This window comes from Homo sapiens, chromosome 5 (assembly GCF_000001405.40).
Source record: "Homo sapiens chromosome 5, GRCh38.p14 Primary Assembly".
Lineage (NCBI taxonomy): Eukaryota > Metazoa > Chordata > Mammalia > Primates > Hominidae > Homo > Homo sapiens.
Window position 1 is genome coordinate 122416327 of NC_000005.10, and position 15584 is coordinate 122431910.

Sequence of the window (15584 nt, forward strand, 5' to 3'; positions counted from 1 at the left end):
GTTTTAATGCCCTAATGTGGATAGATCGTTGGCTGGCATTTCTATAATAAACAAGCCTTCTGTCCTCCTTCCTCAGCCTCACATTACCCTTACTAGAGGGTCTGTAGCATCATTGAAAAGGATGAGCAAGCAGCCAGAAGGGAGCATCCCAGAAACACTCATTCCTCACACACACTTTTGCTTTTCCCAAGACAGTGCCCCATCACAATTCTCCAAATCCAGAGTTGACTCAGCCTTAACTTTGATCAGGTCATGGTCTCATCTCTCAGGACAGCACAGAAGAGCACCCAGCAAGTCGTCCTCACTCAGACTCCATGCCTTCTTCCTACTGTCAGAACATGGGATAAGCCACCTGTCATCATTTCTTACAGAGCCTGAGGTGTCTGCAGTAAGTGGGTGCAGTACAGACTTCACCTTACATAGGACTAACCAAACTCCTGACTCTAGCATTAATACTCCCAATCATTCATAATGCCCCTCCTTTTGCTGTGAAAATGGAAAGAAATGGAATGTTGGAGAACTTCAAAAGTATGTCCTTGAAGGCGCCTAGGTTTCCAGTAGCTATGGATGTGAGGTATATTGTTGTGTACATTTGAAGGCAATTATAGCTAAAGCTGACCCCTTTTTTCCTCATGGAAAATAAAATCCATTTAACTTTTAATGAAAAACAGTAGGGGAACACTACTTTATCCTAAATCATACCGCTTTTCTTTCTATTCTTGATGTCTCAAGCTAATTTTCTAATACGGACACATAACTTTCTATTTAGAGGTAAAATAAATAGGCATTTTGGGAGCCAGCATTGACGTTTGGTCCTGAAAATTGAATCCACTGTTGCAACAGCAAACTGTCCATTATCTTCCTAAGAAAATACTAATTTATCAGTCTTAGGAGCCAAAGAGTTGCTCTGTGTCAGCAATCAGCATAGCCTCATAATTATAAATTTGTGAGGATCTGGTGAAAGACATAGATCCAGAGAAATTATAGTGTTTCATAGTGAGTCATTCAGAATAAAGAGCTCTGTTATTTGTAGACATTCCATACAGTCATAGAAATTTAGGGGTGGATCGGGTTTTAGCAATCTTATAGTCTAACCCGTTCATTTTACAGATGAGGAAACTGAGGAATGTTTTGTAGGAAATAGATGAAAGTGTTTTAATATGCAGCACATCTTGTCTAAACATTTTCAAGAGCTTACTAACACTATCTTTGAAAGTATTTGGCACAATTAGTGTGCCCGAAATGTGGCAAGGTGACTTCATTGTGTCAGAATTCATATTTATTTACTATACTTTTCTTCTTTGGTTTTGGCATCTTCCTTCCCTCCTTCCTCCTTCCTCCTTCCTTCCTTCCCTCCTTTCTTCCTTCCATTCTGCCTTTCTACCTTCCCCCTTCCTCCTTCCCTCCCCACCTCCCCTTTTATTCATTCATCCATTCATTGAAAGATTAAGTCATTGGTCCCCAGTATCTTCAAGGCACTCTGCTAGACAAAGGGCTGGTTATAAACACAAGTTGGTTCTCAGGCTATCTTTGCCCTTGAGGGGTTCTCAGGAGGGAAGGTGAAACAGGTATATGAGTGAAGAGTTGTAACAGAATTTCAAAAATGCCCAACTCTAGGTATGTGCAGGTATTATCAGGGCACTGGGAAGCAAGGAGCAATTATTCCCTAGGAGAGTCACAGGAACTGCACAAAGGAGGTAACCCCTGAGTGTAATCTTGTGAGATGAGCCTGAGTCTCAGGCAGAGAAGACAGCCAAGAGCATTGTAGGAAAGTAAGAATAAGCTTAAATGCAGGGAGAGTATGGTATATCCAGAAAGGATGAATTTAGCAGTGGAGCTGCAGGGAAAAATTAGTGATTTGGGAATCATGAGTGCTGAGATGATAAGGCAAATTAGAAAACAAATACAAGAGCTGCTACATACCATGCTAAAGAATTTAGCTGTTATCCTGGAAGCCAAAGTTTCACAAACCTAGTAATTTAAGTATCATTTCCACAACATGTGTTATATCCCAAGTCTACCTCTGTTATTTTTGCTTTACCTGTATTGCACCTGTACTATGTTTATTTAATATATTTTTCTAAAACACCTGACTTTCAAACATATTTGTTTTTAAAGGAAACTTCATGTCACTATGGTTGTAAATAGAAAGCCATGGTCACTTGCAATAAATTCAAGTTCATCATTAAAATGAATGTGATAAATTGAACATAAAACATTCCTTTCATTATTTGCTTATGAACGTCTCTGAGCCTGAGGCCTGAGGTCTCATTTTTCGAATAGGGAATTGTAAGTTTTGGAAAGGAGTTAAATTCATTCTAGCACCAAAATGAGTCTCCTTATATTAATTAGTAAGAAAAAAGAGAATTTGAAAGGCCAATAGCATTCTCACTCTGTAAATCAGGGGTATTTAGCATGGTTCCTGTGTGCCTCTTAGATATTGCAGGGATATGCACCCACATATGGGGAAATATTGTTTAGTACAGGGCTACCTGAAATATTTGAGTGGATTTTGGGTGACAAAGTCAGACTTACTGAAGAAGGTTAACTCAGGACTGAAAAAAGAGACCAGGGGAAGCCAGGAAAACCTTGCAGAGACTGTGGGAGAGGATGCCAGTGTGGTCCAGCCAGTTTAGTGATGATGAAGAGGGCCCAGATTTCAGAGGGATTGAGGATAAGGACACAGCAGGACTTGGTGCCTGAGCGATGAAGGGCAGGGGTCAAGGAAGGAGAAGGGTCAAGGAAAGAGAATAGTCAAGGATGCCTTGGAGATAGATTGCTTAGGAGACTGCATAAGTGTTCATGTCACCATGTAGGCCACGATCACAAGGGATATGTTTTGGGAAGGGGAGTAGCATCTGGATGTGTTAGGGGAAAAGGGGAAGGGGAGGGAGTGGGCAAAGGTGGAGAGAGATGAGGCATTTGGATCAGACCAGGCCACCTATCAGGAATCCTTGCACATTCTAAGACTGCACCACATGTTTGTTCAATCAATAGATGGGTGTGGACAGTCAGCAGGCAAATACTTTGCTAAAGCTAAGTGGCATTCCAAGTGTCAGCTAGATCCGAAGAGATAATTGTGGCCTATACATCAGCAGCAAATACATGTCTGTTTACTTACTGACCATTTTAGAAAATCTGTGGTGTAATCAGATAGGCAGGTTTAAGGCTTATTAGGCATGTTTACTTCTGTAAGATGTTAAAAATGAGCCCATTCAACCAAAAAGTCATTATGAATCTACTTATGTAAAGCAATTTTCTGGGTTCTTTAAGGGATAGAGAGATAAATTAGACACAGACTCTGCTCTCATGGAACTTGTACAAATCTAAAATAGATAAAATTTGGGGGGATTTAAATTTTGCTGACATGTAAAGAATTTATTCATAATTTCCAAAAAGCAAATTTAGCCTCAAAATTTTTCTAGTAACAAAATAAGTCTAAACTTTGTTTCCATGTATGGTAAGAAATTTATTATTATATTGCAATAAAATAAAAGTATGAGTGAAATTTTTGATAGATTTAAATAATTGCGAGTGAAAATCTTACTAGTCATTAATAGCCCCTCTTCTGTGTTATTCTTAAAATACATGATTACAGAGCTTAGCAGCAATAAAGGAATTGAATTTTGTCTTTTGTATATAGCACAAAGTTGCCCTTCTTCCCATCCAGGTGTATGATATAGCAATACATTGGAGACTTTTAATGAAAACCTGTGAAATAATCCATTTTTCATTCCTGGGATGTCTTTTCTTGGCAATCAAGACATAGACGAGAAAACACAGATCTCACTCACAGCCTCAAAAAGAGCCATAGGTTTGAAGAAGGAGAGGGACAACAAGCCAAAATGTTGGCACTCCTTCTTCAGTTTCTAGATCCTTCTGTGAAAAGACGTGTTTTCGTAAGACCCAGACAGAATTCATTTCCATAGAGCGTTTTTAATGGCTCCTGTCAGAACAAAACAGCTGGGAAACATATGGTATCCATTTCCCTGTATCACTTGGAAAAAATTTCACATGTAAATAAAGCCAACATAAAAGAGTAGCCCTTTGAACCTACGACCTTATATAATACATAAATATATTGGTACAATGCACTCGTTGTATTGACCTACTAAGTTATGTGGCTTTAAAATTTTTTATTACATTCTGAGATGCACATTTTCTAGAGCTTCCAAAGAAATCAAGGTAATTGGCAAAATATTACTAAATATACTCAGTAATAAGAGTGTATCTCAGAAATGTCTATGAGTATATATATATTTTTTTTTCCATTTTATTTAAAGCCTTGCCGAAAGTTGATGAATAAAATTAAAGGCATATTTGCATCTTATAAACTCTATGTCCACTATCTGCTGTTTTAATTAAATAAGTAACCATGTGTTCTTGAGGAGAGAAGACTTGGCAGAAATTTCTGGCAGTCATTAATTTTTCATGGCTTTATATTTTTAGAGAGAAAAGTTCATATAAAAGATAGAAAACTTCTTAAATTTATGAGACCAACTGTAATTAGTCTTTGCCTTTGCATATTTACATTTCATAAATAACTTTAGCAAATTGATCTCTTACTGGTGATTATCACTCCACTGAGTTTATAACAGGATTTTGTCCCCTGTGAAATTAAACTGTAAATCCCTCAGAAGGATGCACTTTGTGCATTTTAGAAGATTTAATGTGTTGTGCAAAGTGAGATTCAAATTCACATACTAGCATTTGTTAATTGTCTGATCTATGCCAAGCACTGTGTACAACTGAGAACTAAAGCCAGCAAAAGGGAAGAAAAGCAGCAGCCTAAGACCATCTAGATACCTTCCTTCCCTTCTGGAACATTCTCTTCTACATTACTTATTGGAGAGAATCGAGCCCTCCTTCCACAGCTCGTAGTATTCTCTTCTTAGATTCTAAAATGTCAGAGCCAGAAAGGTCTGAGAAGTGGACTGCATAGTGCAGACCCTTGGAAACCTCATGCAAAACTGTGGTCAATTTCAGGGAAAGAACTCACTGATAGTTATATAGCATTCAGGCTCAGAGCACTCACTCTCATCCCGTTAGCTTGGTTCCAGAACTTCTCTGAATCCTTTTAGAACATATCCCAGCAGGAAGAAGAATGACCAGTAGCTTAAATTTAGGGAACTTTAATAATGTATGTTCCACTTTCACCCTAAGAATCAGTCATAGCCAGAGGCTATGGCAGAAGTTATAGATGTGAGTATACACCCATCTCATGTTCTTTTTTTCTTTGGTTGTTCCCAGTAGCAAAGAACACACACATACACATGCTTCCCACTTGTTTCAGAAGAGAAGCGGTAAATGGAAAGTCCCTAGTTGTAGGGCATGCCCCCTGAAATCTCATCCTTTGATGGGGGATGATAGGAACTACATGGCAGGGAACTAGGAACCCATAAATCAGTGGCCTGCAAGTTTCCAAGGGTACTGGGTCATCTTTTATCTAGCAGTGGAGTGGCCCAGGGAGGAAGCAGTATAATCATATCTGAGGAGACTGTTATTGCTCCATCTGCTTGCCTCAAGAGAAGGCACCAGGCAGCCTCTCATAACCAGGAGAGATGGCTCTTATCTTTCACCTCCAGGTGTGTCTGGCTGTTTCACTTTCTACTCTATCGCAACCAGACACTTACTCAAATGCAAACCAACACACAATCTTTATCCAAACTTTGCACAGAAATTAGAAAAAAAAAAAAAAAAAACCACTCTGCCTGACCCATTTTCTTTTCAGAACTTTCTTCTCCTGTTTGTTTCCAGCCTTCTCAACAATGGAGGGCAGTATTGAATCCTAAAGAACATGTTCTGTTGTGAAGTGTTAGTGCATTCTGTCACTGTGTCATATGTCAGAAAGCACCATGAAATGTTGCTGCATGATAGTTGACCAGGGTACTTTGACCAAGGTGGGGTTAACTCAACTATGTCTTCTCTCCCACAGTCCTTTCAACTCCTGAGCACTGTATTCCTTCCTATTCTTTCCCTAATCCACTTAATGGCACACCTAGGGAGTCACTCAAGGAGGTCATAGTTTGAATTTGCTCAATATTAAATAATTTGCCACTTCTTTTCATGGGACTTCTTGTGCATTAGGGGTGTATGTGGACATGCACGCTAATGTGTGTGCATGTGTGCATACGTCCCTTTTCTCCCTAAATCAGTTTGGAAGTTTATTTAACACTGAAGATCTTATTCTCTAATCTTGTTTTTCAGGGTGGTGACAAATATAAAAATATTGCCAGGGAGGTAGATCTATCCAGGGAATAAACCTAAATACCTATCTGGGTTTGCTTCCTTAGCCATTTACCTGTACCATTATTATTACTTTAATTAATTTTGAGTCACTGTGTTATAACCTTCTTTGATCATTCACTGTTTTCCAATGGTAAGTATGATTTTTTTTGTTCTATTGATGTGCACTCTAAGTCATCCTCACACACAGAACCTTAATTTGAACATAATGTGAATGAACCACATCTACCTGCATAGCCAAGATGTGTTCAGCATTCCAGATTAATAGCTTTCTATTTTAATTTTTTAAAAACAGTTTCTAGCTCTAGCTGGAATTGTGGCATCTCAACTCTTATTACAAACACGCAAAAGCCCACAGGAATCGCTGATGTGTACAGTAAGTTCCGCCCAGTGAAGCGGGTTTCGCCACTGAAACATCAGCCAGAGACTCTGGAGAACAATGAAAGTGATGACCAAAAGAACCAGAAAGTGGTTGAGTACCAGAAAGGGGGTGAGTCTGACCTGGGCCCCCAGCCTCAGGAGCTTGGCCCTGGAGATGGAGTGGGCGGCCCACCAGGTAAGAGCTCTGAGCCCAGCACATCGCTGGGTGAACTGGAGCACTACGACCTCGACATGGATGAGATTCTGGATGTGCCTTATATTAAATCCAGTCAGCAGCTTGCCTCTTTTACCAAGGTGACTTCAGAAAAAAGAATTTTGGGCTTATGCACAACCATCAATGGCCTTTCTGGCAAAGCCTGCTCTACAGGAAGTTCTGAGAGCTCATCATCCAACATGGCACCATTTTGTGTTCTTTCTCCCGTGAAAAGCCCTCACTTGAGAAAAGCATCAGCTGTCATCCACGACCAGCACAAGCTGTCCACTGAAGAAACCGAGATCTCACCTCCTCTGGTTAAATGTGGCTCTGCATATGAGCCTGAAAACCAGAGTAAAGACTTCCTAAACAAGACATTTAGTGATCCTCATGGTCGAAAAGTTGAGAAGACAACACCAGACTGCCAGCTCAGGGCCTTCCACCTACAATCCTCAGCAGCAGAATCCAAACCAGAAGAGCAGGTCAGTGGCCTAAACCGGACCAGCTCCCAAGGCCCAGAAGAAAGGAGTGAGTATCTGAAAAAAGTGAAAAGCATCTTGAACATTGTTAAAGAAGGACAGATCTCTCTCCTGGTAAGTATAATCTAGTTCAGTATACATGTCAATAGACTGGAGACTCCTTTTTAATAAACTGCATTCGTTAGTAACAGAACGATGCTGCATTTGTTTTGGTTTTTACTTAATCTTTACTTGTGGCTTTAGTTGGGAGATGTGACCTTTTGAGTTTTAAAATAAGAAGTTATGAAGTTAATACAGGGAAAACAAATAACTATAGAGGGAGTGTTATTTCATTTTAACTTTGCATGAATTCAACTGAAGACTCTTAATCTCAAAGAGAGCCCGGCACTTTCTTTAACTTGAATCTCAATGTCTTTCTTTTTGCTTTTCAAATGGTTCCCAGTGCTCTCACGCAGCTATTTGTGAGGATGTCAATTCTTGGCTGATGGTGGACCTGCCAGACATGTAAACAGAGGGTCTTCTGTTTTGTCCTGATCATTATTCAGAAGAATTGGACCAGGTTGTTTGAAAAGCATTTGTAGATAGAAGCTTACCCAAGGGCTTCATTGCCCTCTGACCCAGGTGGAGTTTTTACTTACTTCCAGCTCTGCATGTCTAGGGAGCATGAAGAAGCTTTTCCAAAGACTCTAGACACAGAGTAACATGATGTAAGAAAAGTCTGTTCTGCTTTGGCTTAGAGAGAGCTAAACTTAAATAGCACTCCATCTGCCTACATTGTTCTTTTCTGGCTTCCAGACTTGGATCAAACAGTAGCAAGCCTGGGCTCGTACTATGATGCTAATTAAAGTCTCATTCAAGAAAATCATCACATCTTGGCAATGTGATTCTACTTAGTATAAAGCCATGCATACTTAAGTACAATGTACTTGCTCTATTATCACAAATACTATTGTGATAGGGTAATATAATTGAATAATTTTATGAAATAAAGTAGTATTTTTTCTCCTGAAAATGTCTTTTCCATTTTCCTGGCTCTTCCCCCTAATTCTCTTTGGTTCATTCCTTTCTTTTGTCCTTCTCATGTTTTCATGTTTCCCAAATGCTAAAAACACCTCTTAGCTCACCCAACAATCTCTATCAACGAGTTCATAGTCAAGGGACAAAAACTTCACTAGAGATGAGAAACCAAAGCCATGTAGCCTCCAGATACCCCCAGGAGTTTGTTTGATGACAGTGTCTAGAGGTACCTATGAGAGCACTAGTAGCAGCAGTCATCATGTTGTTTGCCATAGCCAGTTCTCTACAATTCAAGGCAAAATAAACAGGTAGAGACAAATAGCTCATTCATTCAACAAACATAGAACAGGGAATAAAACCCAGCCCCAGCCCTCAAGGACTTCACAATCAAGTAGGGGAGACAGACAGGGAACCTGACAATTACTGTAAATGTAATTATAGTTCTTTAGAAAGCCAACTTGAAGCCTCCACACCTCATTGGCCCTAGCCCTGTTGCCATGTCTCGTATGAAGATCTGTCTCTCGAGAACTCATTTTCTAAAGCATATTGTAACAAAGAATAATAGCAAGAAACTGATTTATTAGATCCCCAAGGCTGCCACCAGAGCTTCTATAAGCTCATTTCTTCTTTCCAGTGCCCAGAGAAAAACTCCTACAGGGTCTTGCTCTGATTTATTGACTTGGGTTTTCTAATCTTACTATTTATACAGCCACACCTAGCTGCAGACAATCTAGACAAAATTCACGACGAAAATGGAAACAATCTATTACATATTGCGGCGTCACAGGGACACGCAGAGTGTCTACAGCACCTCACTTCTTTGATGGGAGAAGACTGCCTCAATGAGCGCAACACTGAGAAGTTGACTCCAGCAGGCCTGGCCATTAAGGTGACTGGTTGGGGGCTGGAACCTCCACAGCTAGAAGCTGGATTTCTATTTTTTAAGATTCCTTGTGAGCTAAAGTGTTGGAAGGGAGAGAAGAGAGTGATTTGTCAAGCAAAGAGCAAATGAACATATTGCATTTAAGAGAGTAATCATTTCAGTCACTGCTTTGAGATTTTGAGACTTAATTCCCAGTTTTTGTCAATCTGCTACTAAAGAGAAAGGAAAATGATATGTTGTAGTTCTAACAACTTTTGTTATTCATAGGGATTGCAATTAAGCTTCTTAACCACACCTGGATCTATCAAAGACTATCATTTCTTCCTAATATGACAATAATGAGCAAGACGAATGTGGGGAAGGTGTGTTTTAAGGATGCTAGCACTCGGGAGTATTTCAGATCACAAAGTGGGCGCTTAACGGATCACATCTGAAGTTTGAGTGTCTTCAGTATCAAGAATTTTTTAGAGTATCAGTGCCGAGTTTGAGTTTAGCTCTTGCAGAGCACAGTACGCTACCAAAAACTACACAAATTAATGTCGACTGGAATAGAGTTAAAACCTAGAAACTGTGAGACAAGAAACATGGACTTTTATAGCACTGCAGCAAGTGCCTCTGCAAAATATAGCACATCACTAGAAGATTAGCTATTCAACTAAAATTACCTAAAAGATCTTTGGCAAATAAATGTAGAATCCAATCATATTTATTAAAAAGCCAGAAGTGACATTCAGGGAAATATAATACATCTTGTATTTTTGCATATGTGCTTTGCTTTACATAATAGTTGTGTCTTCTAAAAGCTGAATAATCATAATTTTTATAAATTTAATTATATTGAAATTGGTGAGGGGAATTTGTTAGAGAAACCTACATGTGAATTCACTAAAGAACGTTACATTTAAAAAACCATTAACTGCTGTTCTACCTTAATATATTTTTTACGCAAACCTGATTTTTTTGTATTTTTAATTTGATGATTCAGCAAAGTTTTATACATTAAAAAATAATTTCCATTTTATTTAATTTTGCTCGGTTAAGCAAGGTAATTAATAAGGTATACTTCAAATCTAGCATAGAAGATAATTTTTTAAATAAAATAAATCTATGACCCTGGTAGGTATTATTTTGCTTTGGTTGTAAGTGATATGATGTTGAATTAAGAAGTAAACTTCAGGCAGCTATCATGAAGAAAGATAAATAGAACTAAACTACAGGCAGCTATCATGAAGAAAGATAAATAGAACTAAACTACAGGCAGCTATCATGAAGAAAGATAAGTCAAATGTAAAGTCGAGATTTAATATAGTTGAGCTTAACAAAGTGTACCAAGTTTACCAGGTACTGCGTTTGGTGGCTGGCAATACAAATTTGTATAAGTCATAGTCCCTACTCTTAAGGAGCTAATATTATTGCTAGTGGATAAGACTGGTAAGTTATCAGTAACACAAGTATAGGATGGCAAATTTGGGATATAGCCCTGTGACAGAGTTCTGTAGACATCAATGAGCATGTGTCAGTGATAAATATTCTTGCAGTGCTAATGAGTGTTAAGATTTGCCTTGCTGTTTTAGTGTTTATAAAATACAGTTCTCATTAGTCTTCCTAATGGTAGATTATTTATATAGGTAGAAGAAAATAATTTTTTTTAATTTGTATGCCCTAGGGCTTGTTTTGATAGATTAAAAATCTCTGAGTAGAAGGTACATAAGAAACTTAGTGGTTGTTACGCCAATCTTCAGCATAAACACCTTCTATGATATCCATATTAAGTTTCAATTCATTCTTATATTCCTGCAGTCAACATAAGATTGCCATCATACCATCAGTGTGCAAACTTAAACAGCAGTGTTTTTTTTTTTTTCATTTTAATGAAAAAGATTTCAAACCCATAAGACTCAAAAACTTTTACAGGTTTGAGGTCTCAGGCTTTTCATACTTAACTTCCAGAAAATGATTTGAATGTTCTATTCCTTTATTCTAGAATTTACAAAAGCAGTAAATACAAATATTTTATAACAAGTGCTTCCCTCTTTAGAAATCTGTCCTGACGCATATTTTGTCTCAGTCCATTCAGTGTATTTTGATGAACATTGATGACATTGAGAGAGTCCTAAAGAGTCACCATTTTGTTTTAGGACCTTGTTTTGAACACCAGTAACCAACTAGTGGTGTTTCACCTCATTAAACACAGTTTTGAGGGCCCTGCTGTCATGGAAAGACAAAGTTGGTACAAATGTACAGAAGTTGCTAAGATAATATGACTTGGCTAACAGGAAGCAGAGTCAGGGATAAGGTATCAAATAGAAAGATTTACCTGGGAACGGGCTTTGAAGTCATATCAGGACTTAAGAACATCTCCCTCACTATTAAACTCCTGGAATGGAACGTAATAAATTCTGCCAGTTACATACAGAATTTATTCACCACTTCTGGGATACCCAAGAGTACATACTGTGGGAGTTCAGGGTATTATTGAGTTTTCTTTAGAAATGATTAAGCAAAGTAATTGGAAAGAAATATTTCTAAAAGGTGAGAGCAGTCTGTTTTCTAAAACAGGACAGAAGAAGTAATTATTTTAAGACTTAAATAGTCTAGGAATGAAATAATCTTAATTCCCTTTTCACTTCTCATTCAGTCCTTTTGATTAAGCCAAAAAGCAAAGTGTCCATCTGGATATAACGTGACTTCAAACACATAATCTTACTGATACCCCCTTGCTGTATGTTAAATACAGCAAGTGGCCCCAGGCCCATAGACTTTGGCAGGCAAAAATCTCCTGCTAGAATTTTTTGTTTGTTTGTTTTCTTAGTATTTATATTTATGGCAAGTAATACTGGTTTCAAACTCACAATAGTGATATAATATTTCCTTCTGCCTTTCTAACAGCATTTTGTTTAAGTGTTGCCTCCTTGAATAACTAGAACTAACAGACATCTAATAGAACACTACCCAACAATAGCAGAAAACATTCTTGTCAAGTACACATGAAACATTCTCCAGGATAGACCAAATGTTAGGCTATGAAACAAGTCTCAATAAGTTTTTTTTTTTTTACCTTTTATTTTTATTTATTTATTTATTATACTTTAAGTTCTAGGGTACATGTGCACAACATGCAGATTTGTTACACATGTATACATGGGCCGTGTTGGTTTGCTGCACCCATTAACTCGTCATTTACATTAGGTATTTCTCCTAATGCTATCCCTTCCCCATCCCCCCACCCCACAACAGGCCCCAGTGTGTGATGTTCCCCGCCTGTGTCCAAGTGTTCTTATTGTTCAATTCCCACCTATATGTGAGAACATGCGGTGTTTGGTTTTCTGTCCTTGTGATAGTTTGCTCAGAATGATGGTTTCCAGCTTCATCCATGCCGCTACAAAGGATATGAACTCATCCTTTTTTATGGAAGTCTTAATAAGTTTTAAAGGATCGAAATGCAAAGTTATGTCCTTCGATCATAATAGAATGCAATTAGAAATCAATAACAAAAGGAAATTTGGGATGTTCATAAATATGTAGAATTACATGTCAAAATAAATCAACGTGTTAAGAAATCACAAGGAAAATTAGGAAATATTTATAGATGAACGAAAATGAAAATACAACATACCAACACTTACAAGATGCAACTAAAGCAGCACTTAGAGGGAGATTTGTAGCTGTAAATGCCTCTATTAAAAGAGGAGGAGAGGAAAGTGGGAAGGAGAAAGACTTCAAATTAATAGCCTAATTTTCCACCCTAGAAAACTAGAAAAAGAAGAGCAGACTAAATCCAAAGCAAGCAGAAGGAAGGAAATAATAAAAATTAGAGTAAAAAGAAATAAAATAAAAAATAGAAAAATAATAGAGGACGTCAATAAAACAGCATTTAGTTCTATGAAAATATTTTTAAAAAGTAATGAATGCCTAATTTAGGTAAACTGACCAAAAAAAAAAAAAATAGAAGACCTACATTACTAAAATCAGAAATCAGAAATGTTGCCTCACATTTCTGTGTTCTGTGTAAATGCCAGTTTGCTTAAACCGTCTTGCCTAGTAAATGATCAATATGGTTGCTATTCCTTTCTTCTTTTAGCGGGAATGAAGCACATTGTATTTGTGTGTTAGTGGTTTTTCGTTTTTAATCCTGGTAGGAAACATTTGGCATGCTCCAATTGCGAAATTTAAGGAAAGTCTGTAATTAAGGGATTATATATAAAAGGATGGTTGAGGGTAAGGGGTTCGTAAAGGAAAGTGCAGTACCCTGGGGTGTTTATTTAACAGCCAGGACACGGTTACCTCCCCAAAGCTGGGAAAGGGAAAGGAGTGGTTATAAGAACTTGAGATAGAAAGGACTGAGTACAAAGGACTGGCTTACTTTTGGGCTTTTTAAGGGACTCAGATGGCCAATGGCAACCCCATAGAGAGGGCCTCAAACTCACTTTCCTTTCCTGATCTGCCACTGTCACCATCAGCCAGATCCAGCCAGAGGAGCAGGGAGCCAACTCATTCAGAACAACCTTCTCGGGCAAATACCTCAGGAGAATAGAATCTGCATGTGAATAGTTGGGAGTTCCATTATCCAAATGGAATAAAATGAAGAATGAGCAGATTACCTCATTGTCCTCCTTTTAGAATAAATTTTTACCCTTGAGCAGTTAAATGATAGAATTCTAAAATAAAGAGAAACTAATCCTATTCTACTAATTTAAATGCTACCCTCAGTGAAGCCTCCCTTGGCTCCCTGCCAACCATACCTCTTTTCTCCTGGGCTAAAATCCCACAAGCTGCAAACTAGGAAGGCAGTTGAATGTTTGATTTGTCTGACAGAGTTATTGCGAGAATCTAAGAGAGCATTCTAATAGAAGGTAACAAGTATTGTCTGCTTAGTAAGTTTACATGCTTTATCTCATTTAATCTTCATGGTAACTCTATGAGGTAGTTACTATTATCCCTGCTATTTCACTGTTTCACAGATAAGAAAATTGAGTATCGGATAGGTAAAGTAATTTGTCCATGGTCTTGCAACTAAGTGGCAGATTAAGATTTAAAACCATATCAGAATCTGGGTTTTAATCACGAGGAGATACGTATCTGGGTTTATATATCATACTGCTCTATAAGTGGTAGGGAACATTTTCTACAGACATGTATGGACTATATTGTAGCTATTTACATGCCTTGATTGCTTTTTGAGAGAAGTTTAAGTTTCTAAAAATTATGAGAAATTTTTTAAAAATTATGAGGGTAAAAAATACTCATAAACGACTATAAGAAAATCCTACTCTTTTTTTTCTGCCTACTTTTACTTGATCCTAAAGGTCAAGAGGGTTGGTTTCCTTAAAAATGTAAAAGTTGAGGATATTTTACTTTCTGTATCCATAGTTATATTATTTGTATATAATAAAAGATAATTTCCCTTTTTAAAATTGTTTAATATTTTACTAATTAAGATATTTACCTCATCCCTTAATGAAATTTTTAATTTCAAATATGAGTTTACTGATTTTTCATTAACAAATATGATTCTTTGGGGATTGGAAAACAGTTGTGCATCTTATGAAGTTTAATTGAAGAATACTGATTAACTGACCATGCCGTGTGTTGGCTTAGTTTTGGAACAATTAGAATGCTCATATGATGCTGGTGGTGATATAAAGTGGGCAATCACTTTGGAAACTAGTTTGGTGGCTTTTTATTAAGTCAAATATACAGCTACCATATGACTCAGAAATTTCGTTATTTACCGAGGAGAAATAAAAGCATGTATTCACTATTCACAAAAAAAATTCATAGCAACTTTATTCATAATATCCCCTAAGTGGAAACAATCCACATATCTATCAATAAGTTATTGGATAAATAAATTGTGGTATAATTCTACAATGAAATACTTCTCAGCAATAGAAAAGGAATAAATTACTGATACAAGCAGTAGCTTGGATGAGTCCCAAAGGCCTGCTATGTAAAAGAAGCCAGACACAAGAGTATATACACTAATCTATTGTGACAGAAATCTCATCAGTGGTTGTTTGGGACAAATGAGAGGAGGGTGAGAACCAAAGAGTACTAGAACACTTCTGGGGATAATGGAAATGTTCTTTGTCTTGAGTGAAGTTATAGTTACAGGAGTATACATATTTGTCAAAATACATCAAACCGTATACTTTAAAAGATTATATTTTATAGTATACAAATTATACCTTACTAAAGTGAATTTAAAATAACTGATTACAATTATGAAAATGAACTTAAATAAAAATTCTGCAATTGATTTCGAGCCAAATCCACAGATCAGGAATATAATAGGTGATATCTTTATATCATAAATAAATTAAGCCTGATATAAATGCCAAAATTTATATGATTTCTTTCCTTGGTGAAATTACCATCTTTAATG

General features: G+C 37.3%; 1 protein-coding gene across 54 annotated transcripts in view, besides 1 other annotated feature; it reads left to right on the forward strand.

Annotated features, from left to right (window-relative positions):
- Positions 1 to 15584, forward strand: part of SNCAIP (synuclein alpha interacting protein) — a 152867-nt gene that overhangs the window by 104974 nt on the left and 32309 nt on the right. For 39 of the 54 annotated variants that reach the window (XR_001742366.2, XR_001742364.2, XR_001742365.3 and 36 more), the window contains 2 exons: positions 6542 to 7413; positions 9026 to 9205. The exons of 13 other annotated variants lie outside the window; for them this stretch is intronic. Coding sequence is in view for 37 of the 41 variants with exons in the window: in XM_006714734.3 (XP_006714797.1) it covers positions 6542 to 7413; positions 9026 to 9205 (1052 nt within the window). In the remaining 4 variants the exon portion in view is untranslated. The remainder of the gene's footprint in view (positions 1 to 6541; positions 7414 to 9025; positions 9206 to 15584) is intronic. 2 more of the 54 variants (NM_001308105.1, NM_001308108.1) reach the window with 2 other exon arrangements.
- Positions 5287 to 5496: an enhancer, noted in NCBI's record as "active region_22995". NCBI's record gives its function as "activates an Ori minimal core promoter by ATAC-STARR-seq in GM12878 lymphoblastoid cells {active_cell/tissue: GM12878}" and the evidence as "EXISTENCE:reporter gene assay evidence [ECO:0000049][PMID:35858748]".